This window comes from Homo sapiens, chromosome 4 (assembly GCF_000001405.40).
Source record: "Homo sapiens chromosome 4, GRCh38.p14 Primary Assembly".
Classification (NCBI taxonomy): Eukaryota; Metazoa; Chordata; class Mammalia; order Primates; family Hominidae; genus Homo; species Homo sapiens.
The window spans coordinates 125620234-125639552 of NC_000004.12; the positions used below are offsets into that span (position 1 = coordinate 125620234).

At 36.3% G+C, this 19319-nt stretch overlaps 2 annotated features.

Moving 5' to 3' along the window:
• Positions 16591–17092: an enhancer, noted in NCBI's record as "H3K4me1 hESC enhancer chr4:126557979-126558480 (GRCh37/hg19 assembly coordinates)". NCBI's record gives its function as "activates a minimal SCP1, AML or CMV promoter by ChIP-STARR-seq in primed H9 embryonic stem cells {active_cell/tissue: H9 hESC(primed)}" and the evidence as "EXISTENCE:reporter gene assay evidence [ECO:0000049][PMID:30033119]".
• Positions 17093–17592: an enhancer, noted in NCBI's record as "H3K4me1 hESC enhancer chr4:126558481-126558980 (GRCh37/hg19 assembly coordinates)". NCBI's record gives its function as "activates a minimal SCP1, AML or CMV promoter by ChIP-STARR-seq in primed H9 embryonic stem cells {active_cell/tissue: H9 hESC(primed)}" and the evidence as "EXISTENCE:reporter gene assay evidence [ECO:0000049][PMID:30033119]".

The following is a 19319-nucleotide window of genomic DNA, read 5'->3' on the forward strand; positions in this document are numbered from 1 at the left end:
GGCAGGCAACACTGTTTAAGACTGGGTAAGTCTAAAATGTTTTCCCTAAAGTTTCGGTTCATATTGAAAACAGACACACACTCTTGAATGTTTAAAACAGAATTGTTTCTGGCCAGATTTTCAGTGTCAACACAAAATACTGCAGAAGAAGTTACATTTTAGTTTTCATTTTTTTGAGAAACTCAAACATCAAGTGAAAAGTTTGAGGATAAAAAAGAAGAGAAATAGATAGAGGAAAAAGAGAAGTCAAGAAAGGAGAAATTCCACTACATCTTTTAACCCAAGTTTACAAAGATTAATTTTAAGGAAATCATTACTAGTAATCTGTTACATTTTTTCCAAGGAGGGTTCATAGAAACTTAACATTTCAAGAGCTTTCATTCTAAGAATGTGAAACTCAAAACCAAAAGAAAACAAAACAAAACAAAAAATCTTTATGGAAACAAGTTAATCCTTATATATTATGATTCATTTTCTACTGTCTAACTGATTACATCAGACAGTTTTCTTTCACAGAAAAATTAGAGTGGATTGACTGTCAAGAAGAATAAATTGATCTTGAAACTATATTACTATTGCTTATATTGTTGTATACAACTATCTATATAATGGAGGCTTAAAAGCTTAAAAGATACCTTTTACATTTTAAGACTAATTTTATGCTGATGATAGAATTTTTTCAGACTAATTACATTTATATACATAATGCTTCTCAATAAAATTACCTTGGAAGGAAGATCTCATTCACTAATTGTTTAAAAGGTGTTGAAGTGCATATTCATGAAAGAATGGAACAGAGAAATATTTACTAGGAGGAAAAAGTTCTTACTGAAGACAAAGAGAATTTCTAAAAATTTTATATTTCGAATTTGCACTATCTCAAAAGGCTTAGGGCTGGTAAAATTTGTTAATAAAATATTTCATAATAAAAATGATTCTTTTTAAGAATAATGTTTTTCATATTGCACACCACAGAGTAAGACTGTATCTGGTTAGTACCATAAGCTATATAATCATTTTATAATAATATAGGCAATGGGCCTTTGAAAATCACAATGAACCCTTCCCATTGTTTTGAAAAAAATGCCTTCCCATATGTTTTTAGAAAACAATGAACTAGCCAACTTAGAATACATGTGGTTGTTATTCTCTTTAGCCATAAGCAGCAATTTGTTTGTTACAAAAATGTAATGAGTTTGAAACTACAAAGTAAATGAAAACCTAGGATGGTATAGGTTAAGCACAAAAGAGACCAAACTGACACATGATGGGCATGAGAATTATGGAAGACATTTAACTATCACCTGAGAGTAATGGCCACATGCATATTGGGGTACGAGGGCTTAAATAAATGGAGGCTAGTGAGGAAAAGAGAAACCGATCAGGAACTTACCAAGTAAAACCATGATCATTGAAAATGTTACACCTTCAGTTAGAGGGGAGCTAGAAAAAGTCCACATAATGAAACCAAAAAGCCCCTGTCTTTCTTTGCTGTGCCTCTGGGTAGAAAACCATTATTCTCATTTTCTTCCTCTTCCTTTATTCCCATACCCTAAGCTTTGTCACTATAGGACCGCTGTCAGATAAACCAGGGACTCTAATTTTTATTATCTACCTCACCACCACCCTTTGGGGAAACCCTAACCAAGAAATGACATTGAAGTAGTTCTAGGTGTGTAGTGCCTCTTAATGAGAGGAAGAAACAAATCTGGAACTTTCCTGAGGAAAGCATGCTCAACTGTAGCTCCTTAAAATTACCAAAAGTTCTCAAGGATTACTATTTAGTTCAATTACATATGAACAAAAAGAATATTATATGTAAAACAAAAAATAATAGGCTGCCATGCCAGAAAGTCAATAAAAAATGTATTTAAACCATCTCTAAGACATAAAATGTTAAAAATAAATGATTACAAAAATACATAAGGAAAGTTGGGAAGAGTTGTTACTATCAAACAAAATAGACTTTAAGAAAAAAGTTATTAGGAAAAAATAAAGTCATTATAAAAGAACATAAGTTTTGCCGGGCGCGGTGGCTCACGCCTGTAATCCCAGCACTTTGGGAGGCCGAGACGGGCGGATCACGAGGTCAGGAGATCGAGACCATCCTGGCTAACACGGTGAAACCCCGTCTCTACTAAAAAATACAAAAATTAGCCGGGCATGGTGGCGCGCGCCTGTAGTCCCAGCTACACGGGAGGCTGAGGCAGGAGAATGGCGTGAACCCGGGAGGCGGAGCTTGCAGTGAGTCCAGATCGCGCCACTGCACTCCAGCCTGGGCGACAGAGCGAAACTCCGTCTCAAAAAAAAAAAAAAAAAAAAAAAAAAAAGAACATAAGTTTTAATAGAAGAGTTAAGTGCAATTCAAAATTTGTGCATATCAAATTAAAGAGATTTAAAGTATTTAAGAAGCCACAAGAGGAAATTGAAAAACCCAGGGTGAAGTTATTATTAAGCTCTATTACCTTATAATATAATTACTTTGCAATATAGAATATATACTATCTCAGTTTTTCTCATACTTTAATAATGTTCGTATGAAAATCAACTACAGGTATCTTAAAATGCAGATTCTGATGGAATAGAACTGGTGGGGGGTCCTGAGTTTCTGTAGTTCTAACAAGCTCTTTCCTGATGCTGATGCTGCTAATCAGTGGTTCGCATTTTCACAAGTAACGAATGTTTCTGAAGGACAATGGGGGTGGGGTGAATGAATCATCTCTGTAAGAAGAGTCTCAAGGATTCCACATCAATATTACTTTTGTATCAATACTTATGGATTCCTGGGCGTGAATGAAATACACAGCTGATCCTGGAAGGAGCAGAATTGGTGACAAGAGATTTTGAGGGAAGTGTGTGGATAGCTTTAGGTGAGTGAACATAAAGTGTGTCGTGAGTGCCAACAGAAAGCATCCACTGCAGAGGAGGCATTTAACAACCAGGTGGAAAATATAGTATATGGTGAATGTCAGTGAGTCTCTGTTCTTGACCACCTCAGTGTTTGCACAAGTCTATAAATGGAGTGATCAAAGATATGGAGACCATGCATAGGCCCAACCACAGGGATTCTCTTGTAATAAGGCCAACCGAACTATTGTCACTACAGAATAATTAACCTATCAGTAGCAAAAACTGATGCTGAGCTCTTGATACAGAACCATCCCACAAGGAGACCAGGTAACTCCTTACATGTTAAATTAATGAGACTGCCTTCTAACCTGAAGGAGACAGCAATATAAATTCACTGGAGTTTACGTCTACTCTAGATATAAATTTCTGTCCCTGTTTGCAATGATCCTGCCAGCATTACCATTTAACAATTTGGAAAAAACCTGATTTATTTATAGATGATAGATAACTCATAATATCCCCTGAGTGGAGGGGGGGGTTAATAGTGAAATAGGTGCATCATTAGCTGCATGACCAAAGACCAACTAGAGTGCTATAGAGGATACATTTTATTAAAGGGTCCCATGATAATTTAGACTTTGTATGCCGCAAGGTCATGTCACACCTACAAATTCTGCAGTAAGATTGGAAAAGCAGCCACAGACAATACATAAATGAATCATAGTATATGTGCTGCAAGAAAACTATTTACAAAAATAGGTGGTGGACCAGATTTGGCCCTTTGCTGTAGTTCACTGATCTTTGAGCTTCAGCATCATCTTAGGAATAGCATTCTTTCATTGGTGTGTTGTCCTTTAGGATATGGCATATGAACAAAACCAGAACTACGAATCTAATAGTATCACCCAGGAACCAAGTGGTGAAAATATAACTGATGCTTCTCACCTTCATTCAAGCAATTTACTTGTGGAGTTCATGCTTCCAACACACTGCTGAATTTAAGGTGATCGTTCTTAAGGTGGTGAATGCTTCCAAAAGGACACAGTAATGGTTCCATTGAACTGAAGCTATGGTTATCATTTCTATTGAACTGAAACTATGGAAATCTGGTTCTTTGGACTCATCATGTTGGTGAACTAGCAGGCAAAGAACACAGTTACTGTATTGGCAGGGATAATTAAACCTGATTATCATAAGGAGCAATGGTTTCTGCTAGGTAATAGAGGCGCTGCAGTATATACAGTACTTTCTTCCATTCCCTGTGAAAACACTGGACAGGCAATTTTTAGCAATTATGGCTTGATCAGGAGAAGGTAATTAAGAGCTCAGACTTTACTGGCATGAAAGTCTGGGTCATGCACAGGAATGCAACCTGAATCTCCATAAGTTCTAAGGAAAGCATTATCTAGAATGAATATTAGAGAAAGGAAATTATAAATATCAATTGTGGCCATATAAATAATTATAGTTGCAGGAACAAAAACTTGTTACAAAAACCTTCATGTATTATGTAACTTGGAAAGATTATAGACTGATATTACTATAAATATGCAGCAATAAGAAAAAGTTAATTTAGAGCATAAATGGATTTGATTGATGCAAAGAGTGGACTATAACAGACGCTTTTGTTTATTCTGAGTATCACCTCTGATTTTAGCTATGATGGTGGTGGATAGTTCTGTATGAGTATTGATAACTTCCTGCCAAATTGACTTAAAGAGCATGTTACATGGCTACATTTTTGGCCTGCATTGCCTTTAAAAGAAGAGAGGGGATTGAAGATTATTATAGATAATTGATAGGAAAGGATAATAAATGAAAGGAAAAATAAGATGTGGAAGAAAACTGTCAAAGTAAAAATGGTGACTAAAGTATTAGAGGAAAGAAATTGTGCTGTGGTTAATGGAGCACAGTTTTCCCATAACCATGCTATGTCTCTTGTAGCAAGTACAAGTATTTTCTCATCTCCATGCTACACCTCTTCTAGCAAGTACATCTCCCAAATGCCCTTAGGGATGGAGTTCTGGTTATGAATTACTCACACTTGTGCCAAGATTGGCAGGTGAAAGTCAGACATAGGCCATCTGTGACAGGTCATGGCAATGACAGGACTCTGTGGCTGCCTGGCCCATGTGGCTGGTGTTGTCACCAGCATCATTGGGGATGAGGTGCAGTTGTGGTCATAGAGATATCGGGGATACCAGGAGCATTGACTTGACCACTGAATTGTAGAATTGTAGATGTGCACTGTGGCCTTTAATTCAATAGTTCAATGTCACTCCAGCTTCTGATTCTCTGGAATCGTTTAATGTATTTGTATGCTTGTATTTAAGGTATTTGTATACTTTATATATCACTACATCTATCTTGAGTGGGTGTGTCTTTTGTCTGCTACATCTTGGCTGCTTCAAGGAGAGGATGCCATCCTACTGGCTTGTTTAATTTCCCTTTAAGTAGTCATGTCTCAACTTTCCCACTGAAACTGGGGCACCCCTTTTACAATTGAAGACAATATTTCTCAATAATGTAATACAATTGTTTCTTGGAGAAGACTTCTGTTAATGCTGAATTCTACAACACCGCAGCTTCCTTATATTGTAACTTTCCTTGTCTTATTTAAACACAATTAAATACAAAGCCCAATTTAGGTAAAAGAAAAACAATTGTATCTCAGGCATCAAGTCATCTCCTGGTTTGGTGATATGCCAGACTTAAGCACTCATCTGCCAATTATTCATCTCTCTGTGTGCCACAGCTAATGCATTTGCCAAACATTCCAGGTGTCAATTGCTTTACTTATGCTTTGTTGGAAAGGATAAAAAGAAACTCCCTAGGAAATATTGCCAATTAAGAAGAATAGCTTTTTTAATGGGGATGTATTATTTTCTCCTTAAATTCCATTAGGTACTTAGCTTTCAGATTTTCACATGTTTTACAGATTTGCAGATGATTTTCCAGTTTGGCATGTTTATAGTTGGCCGTATTTAAATATATGCATAAGAAAATGTATTTATTGGACAGATCAATCTTGGTTTCTGCTATATCCTTACTGTTCTCTGGGAAACTCCTCCATTTCCATTACTAGTTGAGCAAAGCTGCAGGCATGGCCCTGTTCTGTACCTCATAAACCACCCCCAAAACCACATGTAGTAGTAGGTTCACAGCGGGCCGATGACCCAATGACAGGTAACCTACAAGATGGTAGGATCTATAAAACTGGTATTTAAAAATCTTCCCCAACAAGGATCATAATGTTTACCTTGGCCTATCAGATACTCTTTCTTGGGAATTTGAACGGTTACCAGTTTACTAGTACTTGGAAAAATAAGAAAACCTACAACCTGAAGTGGAGAAAGCTGAAGATTTACACATTTTCAATTATTTTTTAACAAGTATGTGATTTGAAAATGGCTATTAAAACCATCTAAACAATACAGATTTCAACTGGGATAGATACTAAATATAATAGACATTTTAAAAATGTCATTTTATCTGAAACAGGCCTAGGACATGGCTTTTGTATTCAGGATTTCAAAAACCTCTAATAATTCAGTTCACAATATTTACAGCTCATTTTAAATCGCTACAATTTATTGGCACAAGATCTGAAATCCATATCCTGAATCCATCATACTGTCTTAATTATTCCACTAGATGGTGCATAATAATATAACATTTTTCATATGTGTAAAATTTACTAATTAGAAATTGTATTTGTGTGCAAATATTAGATATAGCTTGCATATATTTATCTAAGATAAAATGCCTAGACAGATGCACGAGAAATTAAGCCTGTATTGGCATTGTTTTGGGCTGTACCACGTCTTCATGTAATACCCATATTCTTAGTATATTGCAGGATATACATCCTGTATAGCTCACACTGCAATTAATTACAGGCTATGACATAATTATCATTCGAATGAAATAAACTTTATTAAAATATATACTGTATGTCTCTCTGGAAAGTTTGCCTATTCATCTAAGCATGCATAACAAAGGGTTTTGTGGAAGCAACAGGATCCCAGATTAGGCTGCCAGATCAGTTTAATCAACTCTGGAAGGAAATGGAGTGACAGTTGTCCAAACCAGATCACACTTATATTCTCATCAAGTCAGTTAATCCTGTTCAACCAACTGTTATTTTGGAAGAGTAAAAAGGATCCTACCTTCTGGCATCTTGCAATATGGTTTGGAAAACAAAAACATATATAATCTGAAAGAGGCTATGATAAAAATTCAAATAGAATTACAGACAAATTGCAAAGAAAGAACAAAGGAAAGAAAGATTATTTTTTACTGTTAATGAATGCCAAAGGCTTAGAAGATATATTGAGTTTGCCTGTACAGGATGTGGAGAACTTCATTGTTTTAGACTTTGCAAACAGATAATGTGGTTTAACTCTGCTGACATGTACTATCGCACTATTTCAGTTTTCACTTAACTCATTTATGGCTGGTCTCCCTCCTGCATCCTTCATATATTTACATATAATAAAAAATTTTTCCAAATATCAGTTTTTCCTCACATCTCTCTCATTGCATAGTATCCCTCTTCATTTGATAGTTAGTTTGCACATTCCAAAAGGGGTTTTAAGATATTTATGCTCTGCTTCCTTCACATTTGTATGGTTCAATTCAATGTTTTGATAGAGAAAATTATTTTCATTTCCTCTAATTTGCTATTAACAAAATGGCTTATGTGCTAAACAACTTATATTTAGCTGTCATTCCCAACTTTGATAAGTTATATTTGACTTACATTTACTAGATCTGCTTTACATATGTACTATATATATTTTTTGTAATTTTTAAATTCTGCAGGTTGTTAGGAGTGAATAATTCTATTCTAATCACAAGAGAACATTCCTTCTGTGCTGTCACCTGTGCTGATCTGTACTGAGGAAAAAAAAATAAATGAAAGGCAAAAATTGAGATCATTCTAGCTTTGTTTCAGTTATTTGATATTTCAGTCAAAAGAATTATAGATCTGAAATATTCAGATAATTGCTCAAATAGTAACATTTTAGAGTGAAGCAAAACTTCACATTCTAATATATGCAGAAATAGTCCCTTACTCCTCGTATTATTTATTAGGTGCTGAACAATACCACTGATTCTTCCAAGATATAATGATACCATTTAGCCAATTATTGTTGCAGTACATCAGGGACAACAGAAATAAAAAAGAATTATCCTAAACTATATTGAATTGAATTTTAAATTCAATTATGCTTCAAGTTTTATTATCACAGATAAAATACTAATTTTCTTTAACTGTGTATTGCAATCTTTTTATGGAAGTTCTAAGGCATTGTTTTGTGCCCCTTGGGCATCTTGTCTTATTATATTTGTACAGTCTTTCCCACCAATCCTATTTTTTATTATTATTAATACTATTTAATATATTCTGAATGATAATCTAGTGCCTTAATAAATTTTAGAAACCTCCCTGGGCTCCTGTTTACAACCAGAGAGGAGTTGTTGCATAGAAGTATAATGCTTATTGAAGTGTACTCCAGGCTAGAAGGCCCCTAACGACGTATAAAACTAAAAACTAAGGTCTAAAAATATTATAAACACAAAATAAATGCTTTGACTTTAAGAAAAGTCCTATCTAGATTTATTATGAATAATTCTAGCTTTATTCATGCAAATTATATAAGGACATTTTAGTAAACAGCTCACTGAATAATCTGCACTGGTGTATGGTGTATTTGAGAAAGTTAAATATACACTCTTTTGGTGGTATTGGAAAATGGTTCTGTGCTAATCTTGATTTGTCATGATTTGAAATGCCCCTATGATACTGATAAAGTCAGGAAATAAATCGTTTTTGACCATAATCTGGCTCACAGCTAGGCCCAATTAGATTCCAAACTATCTTGAAAATACTTCCTTCATTCCTTAGTATAATTGAACTAAATTTCCTCAGCATTAGCAGAATTCTCATAGAAACTCCCTATGTAGAGACACTTATAAGTCGACCACTATAAGAAAATTGTAAATCAAAACTAAATGAAGTGCCCAGTTTATATAGCAAAAATGTTTTAAAAAGGAGATAAAAAGACTATAACAAAACAGAAAAAGTATGAAAAATATGACAAAATTAATGATTTTATAATATTGTATATATAATTTTAAAATGAAGTTATATTTATGATACTGAGATATCACTTTATATTTTGTGTAAAAAATAATAATTGCCGAATATGCTTCTTGGAAAAGAATAAATCCTAGAATTTATAAATTTAAAGATTTAATCTATATTCAGTTAAATCTGTAAATTTAAATCTATATTCAACTAAATTTATACATTTAACTGAATATAGATTAAAACTGAAAACATATTTGGAGTTTTATATAATAAATATTTTAGAATTTAGAATAATTCAGTGGGAGCATTTGTGTTTCATTGAAATTGTACATAAAGCCATACAACGTGAGAAATGATAGTGACCTTAGAGTTTATCTAGATTATTTTTAAGACTTTGGGGAGTAGAGGAAAGACTAGATTTGTATCTCCTAAATCTCAGCCCAGTTTTCTTCCGTTCCATTTTAATGCTCTTTAGGAGGTAAGTGTAAGACACATCAGAGGCAAAATGTGATATACGTGTAGATACAAAATACACATATAAGTATAGGTTTTTGTACACACATGCACACAATTGAAATGGTTCCATATAGTCATCACGGAATAGAAGCAGTTCTATATGGTTAATGGTTATTGATAGATAAAGCTATGTTGATACTCTGTTCCTCCAAGTTCCCCCAGGTGTCATGAAAATTACTGCGCGCGCGTGTGTGTATGTTTGCGCGTGTGTACTCATGTTGTTTAGAACGTACATATGATTTATATTAATCAGTGGTCCATCGAGTTGATATTGGCTCACATAAAAGGCTACATTTTCATATGATTGTGAATTCATTGAATATAAGAGATAGAACATATACAAGGATACAAATTCAAATGCTGAAATACAGTTCTACAATTGACCATGGTATTTTGATTTTTCTTACTTAAAGTTGACTTCGTAGAGAACCAGTTATCAGAGTAAATTTATAGAACAAAAAACGCGGATGTGACAACAGCAGATAATTCTCCCGGCAGTGGTTGCTGCTAGTCATGACATTGCTTTCAACTGTCAGGACTTATTCATGTGTACCAATATTGAAGACTTTCAACACACCAAACAACTTTTGACAGTTCTGCCGACATGTTTCATCTGGTTTAATCAAATATATCAGAATAATCTAGCCACTACCTGGTTTCTGTATTTCACAAATATGAAAATTTTTTCATAGAGTATAGAAAGGTACAGAACTTAGACTGCTCTGAGGAAAAGCATGCCACCTGATAATGTAAAATTACAGTATTTTGATCCATAGGTTATAGTATTTAGAAAAACAATCTTCTTTGTTTAATTCCCTCTAAATTTAATATGTGATATAATAACTTTGTTGTTTCTAGAGCATGGAAACCAAATTATATTGCATATTTAATCCAATTTTATTTTCCATGTTTATCCTTTTCTGTAGAGCAACTCTTGTTATTGAAAAGAAGAAGTGAAATAATTGAAATATATTTGTAAATTTTCTCTGCTTACCCCAAAATATTTCAATAATGATTTTTTAATTTTAATTTCTGCTTTGTAATTCTTTAGTGACAAAACATGCTTTTTCTAGTTATAACACATATGTTTTTAATGTAAATTATAAAATTAAATTGTACATTATTTGTTCAATCCATTTTGATCAATAAGTGATGCTGTTTGAAACAATAGCATCTTAGCTGTTGGTTTTATTTTAAGGAGAATAATATTTTGTTTTAAGGAGAACAAATAGCTATTTAAAATTACTCTTTTGTTCTTTATAATTCTAAGGTCCCAAATTAGTATTTTAATAGTCTCTAAAAAATAATTACCTTTCATGTTCTTTATCTTTCCAATGTAAGATGGCTGGACATAGGGGTAAGATGAAAATTTCAATAATGCATAAGCTTTAAAGAATAAATAATTTGTGGGGTAAAAACAGAGTGGACAATAGGTGCAAGCTGGAAAAATGACTTTAGATGTTAATCAAAAGTCTGGTTCAAAATGAGAAATTCAATACACATTTTTACCTTTTTTTCTCCTGATTTATACATAGTTTAACTCAAGTTTTTTTAACCAGTTAAAAGAACATTTCCTGACAATTAGACTCTGTTTAAAAAAAAGACAATACTGAAGTCAGGTTATTTTTATCAACAGGCTATTTTCAGTGTCCTAGGAAATGTCTCCTCAACTATAATGACTGGTATTAGAAAGGTTGACAAGACAACTTAAACAAACATACTTATGTGTGTACTAAGGCTCTACAGAACAGGAATTTTCCTGAAATTAAGGGCAGTAAAAAATTCAGGCTGTCCCTCTACAACAGGGGTTCTCATCCTCAGCAGCAATGACATTTGGGATTAGAGAGTCTTCGTTGTGTGTGGACGGGAGTTGGGAGGCAGGGTTTGTCCCATGCATTGTTTAGAAGCATCCCTGGCCTCTACCCGCTAGATGCCAGTAGTACTTGCCAAGTGATGACAACCAAAAATGTTTCCAGACCTTACCAGATATCCTCTTGAGACAAATCACCCCATTGATATTTGCTGAGAACTGTGTTCCAGTGCCTTAAAGACATCCTTTAATTGTCCTTACTACAATATGCCTAGGACCAGAGTTTTTCCTCGACTATACAACAATTACACATTTAAGAAGAAGATGGACATTTTAAGAACAAAGTAAACTCTTCCTATTTTCTAGGGACCTTTGTAGCCAGCTTCCAATTTTCTATATGGTTATAAAAGAGAGAGAAAAATAATTCACTGTGTTTCAGTGACCACAAGTATTTACTTCAGAAGAGTCTAAAAGAAAGACTTCTCCCTTCCCCAGAATCAGACCTGTGCAGACCTTGTTAACAACACTCATCTGCAATGTTTTAAGGGACCTCAGGATTAAAGCCTACACCCAGGAAAATACTCAGTAGTGATTTTATTTTTAGTTTGAAATAGGAAAAAATGGTGCTTCCCTTATTCAAGAAATCAGATATTTTTAAAGAAGGTCATATTTAAGAGAGTCATAGTAGTAGTGGCAATCATATATGTACATATAAATATGTGTGTATATACGTGTATATATATAGAAATATAAATATATATAACAAGCATTTAAACAATGCTTAAGTACAATTCAAATATTAACTCATTTATTTATTCCTCACAATAAATCTATAAAGTACTATTATTATTCCATTTTACAAGTGAGCAAACTGAAACATAAGAGACTAACCTGTGGTGCCAGGATTCAAACCTGGGCATTTTGGCTCTAGAATCAGTGTGCAATGAGTCTTCCATTTAGCCAGTCACTGTGTTATGATTCTTTTCAATAAAAAATATCCATTCTTGGCAGATGATGGTAAATAAGAATACTGAAGCTGCAACTGAACATAGCCTGACTGGTGGGTTCCCTGGGCCAGCCCAGTTTGTATGGATTCTGGCTACACCAGAGAACCAGGAGCCCACCTGCCTGGGATGGCCCTGTGCTATCACTTAGCTGTTCTTTGATCAATTTATTATAGATTTGATGCTCATTTCTAGCTCCCTTTTAGCTTCAACAGGACAGAAGCCTTTTCGAGATGTATGCAACTTATTTCTGAGTAGTGAGAATAGCTGAAGGACAGATAATTTCTTCCAAGGATCAAGCCTTGGGATTCTAGGAATAAGCACAAAGCCAGTAACATCCTTCTGTCTGCTATAGATAGATAATTTTCCTATGGTTCCCCTCATTTCCTGGTGTGCTTTTGGGGCTGGATTAAATATTCTCCTGTTTTATTAAAAAATAAAATATTCCAAGCAACATGGAAAAATGCTTTGTATGTATTATCTTATTTAATCTTCATGAGAACTGCAAGAGATAGGTATTGTTATTTTCCAAGTGTTTGCAGAGGAGGAATTAAAAGCTCAAGAAGTTAAGCTCCTTGTCTAGTCACACATTCAGAACATGGTGGAACTCAAGACTCAAATCCAGGTCTCTGTGGCTCCAAAACCATTGAATATTTATGCATCTTCATTTTTCTCTAAATTTAAGAAGTTTGATTAGATTGCCTTTAAGACTTTGTGCAGCTACAGATGCTTGCACATCTATATTCTAGAATGTTTTTTCTTAAAATTTTAACCTCAATTTTAGGATTGTCTTAAAAAGTAGTTCGTTTAAACATAATTTTACAGGTAAAGCTATGGTATTAGCCTATACTCCATTGGACATTAATATCTAATATTTTATTATAGCTATCATACTTTATCTTATTGATGTCAAAAGGGAAACTGCAATTAGGTGAACACAAAATTAGGCAGAAAAGGAGAAAATATCTCAAATACTGATTAACTCAGTTTATATGAGAAATAGTATGGAGAAATGAGGCATAATAAACCTGAGAACGGATTTACCAAATTTCAGTTACAACAGTATATGGATTCCTTTTATTTCCTTGTGATTATTATTGGTTAAGAATAACGTGAGGTGGTTTTAGTTCATAAAATATCGGTACTGCTACTGCTTATGTTAGTAATAACAGATAATATTGAGAGATTTGTGGAATTATATAGATTTAATATTCCATGCTTGAAGAATATACTTAATATTTTGTAATTTTCAGTTTATTATACAAAAAGGAATTTACCCTCAGCCCAAATTATTACTAATCTGAAGTACTGAGTGTTCACTAGAAAGACAGAGGGTTTATAGGACCAGAACACTGAAGGTTCACAATATTATAATATGATGAATAGTTTCAAAAGAGAATGCTTAAGCCAAAGAGAATCTTTAGACTGCCCAAAAGCAACTTGTTGACACAGGTATTCAAAGAAAGAGGTGGGGAGCACTGGCCTTGGGTGCAAGCAATAACGGGGTGCACAGTTGGTGGAGGATTTAAAAATGATAATAAAACTGACAAAACGTTGGTTCTAACTTTTATTATCATTTTATGATGGAAATTCTAAGTAATGTCAATAAGAAAATACTCTTCCCTGAAGAGAAATCTCTGTTAGTCTAAATTCTAAACAGTTCTTATTCCTGCTAAACTATATATATATATATACACATGTATATATACACACATATTTATATACATATATATACACACATATATATACACACACATATATATATACACACTTTTTTTTTAAGAAAGCATACTTGAAGAAACATTGACTACTACTCAAAATTATTTAGAAAATTTCCAACCATATCATTGTCCTGAAAAATGTAGTCTCAAGTATATATGATCTTTTTGAAAAAATTTATTAAGGGTTCAGAATCATTGGATATTGCATCTGGTACAGTCTGTGTCCCTAATCCCTGTGACAGTAATTTTACATGAGTAATGATAGCAAAGTAATTGCAAAACTAAGAAACAGAAATTGAGTCACTTCAGATCTGTCATTCTATATGACAACTTGAAGTTTTTATTTGCCTTTAAACATTTTGGACATTTGAAAGCTGCTAGAAAAAATGTAAAGGAACAAAAGCCTGAACAGTATTTTGATTTCTGGAATTTAACATGACATTGGATTTTTATAAATCTCTGCCAAACTCATCCTTGTGTTTTAGACATTTCCTAAGTATTTGTATATTTGAGGCTTCATGCAAAAGAACTTTTCAAAATTGAAATTAATAAAGTGTGTTCTTTTATCCCTGTGAGTGATAGGTTGGCATATCTATATACACTGTCTATTGAATTTATGTATGTGAAGAACATCAATTTTGACAGAGATAATGAAAGATGTGCAAATGTCAAAACCCCAAAACAGAAGTCATGTAGTTTTTATTCATTAATGAAACAGACTAATATATAGATGTAAATTTTACTACCTGAGTCAAAGCATATAATCAGGTTAGGTACAGTGGCTCACACCTGTAATCTCAGGACTTTGGAAGGCCAGGGCAGGAAGATCACTTGAGCCTAGAAGTTGGAGACCAGCCTGGGCAACATTTGTGATACTCTGTTTCTCCAAAAAAGAAAAAAAAAAAACATTAGCTGGGCATGGTGGCACACACATGTAGTCCTGACTACTTAGGAGGCTGAGGTGGGAGGATCACTTGAGTCCAGGAGGTCAAAGCTACAGTGAGCTATGATTACACAACTGCACTCCAGCCTGAGTTACACAGTGAGACCTTGTGTCAAAAAAAAAAAATAAAAATAAAAAGCATACATTCATATAGTTAAAAAAGTACTAGCCAAATATTCCTTTTCCTTCTTGATGCTGTAGTATTTTAATGTATATGTAATTCCATATATGAAGTTCAATAAAAGAAGCTTTTCACTGGCTATGTTTCTTCTCTGCCTATTTTTTCACATCCTGATTGCTACTAAAAATAGTTTTGTCATATAAATTCAGGGGTATTAAAAATGATCCATTCTGAGTGTTAAATATATGAGAAAAGCCACTACTGGAGAAAAAAATAAGGTAGTTTATAATATATTTTGGAGACAAATTTGATTCAATTTGGAAAAAACAAAGTTTGCAACCTATATTGAATCTGAAAAAGATATGGGTACCCTATGAAAAGGACATTTCCTTTCCCTGGATGAGGCTGTGATCACTTCGGTGAATCAGTATGAGGGAATTCATACATGGACAAAAAAATCGGACTAAATGGTCTTCTAACTCTGCTTCAACCCCTAAGGCAGTATTTTTCCTTCTCAAGTAAGAGAAAAGTATAATTGTGTGTCCAATACAAAAGGGGTATACCTCTTGTCAGGTAAATCTTGCTAACTCTTTTTCTTTTAGTTTCATAAAACAACTAGACACATTTCTCAGAAGGACTCTAATAAGCCTTATATATATCCAAGGGCATCTAGAAAGTAAGTTTGCAGTTTTATTGCATGATGCTTAATTCAATGCATCAACTTGCCTGAGGCAACTCTATTAAAAATTATTTCTGGCTCTGTTGATGAGAGTGTTTCTGATAGTGACAGGAGACAGACAAATTCCTAAGCAGACAGGATGGGTCCCCTGTGAAACCCAACTGTATTAGTCAGTTTTCACGCTGCTGATAAAGACATACCTGAGACTGGGTAATGTATAAAGGAAAGAGGTTTAATGGAATCACAGTTCTACATGGCTGGGGAGGTCTCACAATCATGGCAGAAGGCAAAAGCTATGTCTTACATGGCAGCAGGCAAGGGAAGAGAATGAGAGCCAAGTGAACGGGGAAACTGCTTGTAAACCATCAGATCTCGTGAGACTTATTCACTACTATGAGAACAGTATGGGGGGAACAGCCCGCATGATTCAATTATCTCCCAACAGGTTCCTCCCACAAGATGTGGGAATTATGGGAACTACAATTCAAGATGAGATTCGGATGGGGGCACAGCCAAATTATATCATTCTGCCTCTGGCCCCTCCCAAATCTCATGTCCTCACATTTTAAAACCAATCATGCCTTCCCAAGGTCCCCCAGAGTCTTAACTCATTTCAGCATTAGCTCAAAAGTCCACAGTCCAAATCTCATCTGAGACAAAGCAAGTTCTTTTTGCCTATGAGCCTATAAAATCAAAAGCAAGCTAGTTACTTCCTAGATACAATGGGGATACAAGCATTGGATAAATACACTCATTATAAATGGGAGAAATTGGCAAAACTGAAGAGGCTAAAGTCCCCATGCAAGTGCTAAATTCAGCAGGGCAGTCAAATCTTAAAGCTCCAAAATGATCTTTTTTGACTCCATGTCTCACATCCAGGCCACACTGATGCAAGAGGTGAGTTCCCATGGTCTTGGGCAGCTCCACTCCTGTGGCTTTGCAGGGTACGGCCTCCCTCCTGGCTGCTTTCACAGGCTGGTGTTGAGTGTCTATGGATTTTCCAGGTACACAGTGCAAGCTGTGGGTGGATCTACCATTCTGGGGTCTGGAGGATGGTGTCCCTCTTCTCACATCTCCACCAGGCAGTACCCCAGTGAAGACTCTTTGTTGAGGCTTTGACTTCACATTTTCCTTCCTCACTGCCCTAGCAGAGGTTCTCCATGAGGGCCCTGCCCCTGCAGCAAACTTCTGCCTGAATATCCAGGCATTTCCATACATCCTCTGAAATCTAGGCCGAGGTTCCCAAACATCAATTCTTGACTTCTGTGCACCCGCAGCGTCAACACCATGTGGAAGCTGCCAAGGCTTGGGGCTTGCACCCTCTGAAGTCACGGCCCAAGTTGTACCTTGGCCCCTTTTAGCCATGGTTAGAGTGACTGGGGTGCAGGGCACCAAGTCTCTAGGCTGCACACAGCATGGGGTCCTGGGCCCGGCCCATGAAACCATATTTTCCTTCTAGGCCTCCAGGCCTATGATTGGGTGAGCTGCTACCAAGGTCTCTGACATGCCCTGGAGACATTTTCCCCATTGTCTTGGTGAATAACATTTGTTACTTATGCAAATTTCTGCAGCCAGCTTGAATTTCTCCCCAAAAAATTGGATTTTCTTTTCTACCACATCATCAGGCTACAAATTTTCCAAACTTTTATGCTTGGTTTCCCTTTTAAAATGGAATGTTTTTAACAACACCCAAGTCACCCCTTGAATGCTTTGCTGCTTAGAAATTTCTTCTGCCAGATACCTTAAATCATCTCCCTCAAGTTCAAAGTTCCACAAATCTCTAGGGGAGGGTCAAAATGCCACCACACAGTCTCTGCTTAAACATAACATGAGTGACCTTTACTCTGGTTCCCAACAAGTTCCTCAATTCCATCTGAGATCACCTCAGCCCGGATTTCACTGGAATTCATTATCAGCATTTTGCTCAAAGTCATTAAAAAAGTCTCTAAGATGTTCCAAACTTTCCCACATTTTCCTATCTTCTTCTGAGCCCTCCAAACTGTTCCAACCTCTTCCTGTTACCCAGTTCCAAAGTTGCTTTCACATTTTTGGGTATCTTGACAGCAGCACCCCATTCCCAGTACCAGTTTACTTTATTAGTCCATTTTCACACTACTGATAAAGACATACCTGGCACTGGGTAATTTATAAAGCAAAAAGGTTTCATGGACTCACAGTTCCACATGGTTGGGGAGGCCTCACAATCATGGCGGAAGGCAAAAGGCATGTCTTACAAGGTGACAGGCAAGAGAGAATGAGAGCCAAGCAAAATGGAGAACCCCTTATAAAACCATCAGATCTCATGAGACTTATTCACTACCACAAGAACAGTATGGGGGAAACCATCCCCATAATTCAGTTATCTCTCACTGGTTCCCTCCCACAACACTTAGGAATTACAGGAGCTACAATTTAAGATGAGATTTGGGTGAGGACACAGCCAAACCATGTCACTGACCTTAAGCCAAAGACAGCCTGAAGCCTGAAAAGCAAGCTGCCAGTGCCACGTGAAGTCCATGACCAGAGTGAGAACTGCCTTGATGCCTTTTAGCCAATCGAATGGTGTTTTTCCAGGCCTTCCCATGGACCAATCAGCATGCACTCCCTCATTCTGAGCCCGTAAAGACCCTCGACTCAGCCTTACAGATGGCTATGATTTGCAGCCCCCTCTCACACACAGGACTACCCACTTTGGGTTCCCTTTCATGTGGAGAGCTTTTCTGTGGCTCAGTAAAATTCTTCTCTCCCTTGCTTACTCTCTGGTGTCCACACACCTCATTCTTCTCAGTTATGTAAAAGAACCCAGGCCCGCAGAATGGTGAGTGCAAAAAGAGGTATAACACCTGCTCCTGCTTGCTGAGCTGCAGGAGTAAAAAGACTGCTAGGTACCACACGCCCCTGTCCACCAAGCTGAGGGTGACAGGGAGAGCAATAACATGCCCCTGTCTGCTGAGCTGCAGGCAACAAGGAGAACTGTAGCACACCCCCATTGTCCTAGCTGCAGGCATGAAGAAGTGAAGCAGTTTGGCACCATTCCCTCCTGGCTGGCTGGCTGAACTACAAGATCTACAACATTTCTTGGGGGCTCAGATCTCAGGATTCCCCCAGCGAGAGCTGTAACACCCCTTGGGACTCTGCAGTTGCTGGAATTTCTGAGTTTTTAGGTGCCATCACATTCCCCCTCATCTAGACTCCAGTGCCCAAGGTGAAAACCTCCCGTGGCATGTCCAGTCCAGCTGTGGGCTGAGTGCAGAGTCCCTTTGCATGTGTGGGATCTGGGGCAGGGTGTGAGCCAAGTGCAGCCTGCCAGGCTGAGTGGGTGGAGTGAGCCCAGCGGGCCAAACAAGGCTGCAGGCAGAGGTCACGGTGGCCACAGAGATTTCCCGCTGACAAAGCAGCACCGAAGGAATCCTGTAACATTTCAGATGAGATCAGCATCTGAATTAGTGGGTTCAGTAAAGCAGATTGTCCCTCACTCCCAGTGTGGGCAGGCATCCTGCAATCCATTAAGTGTCTGTATAAAACAAAAGGAGGAGGAGGAGCTTGCCCCCCTTCTCCCCTTCCTTACTGCTTGAGCT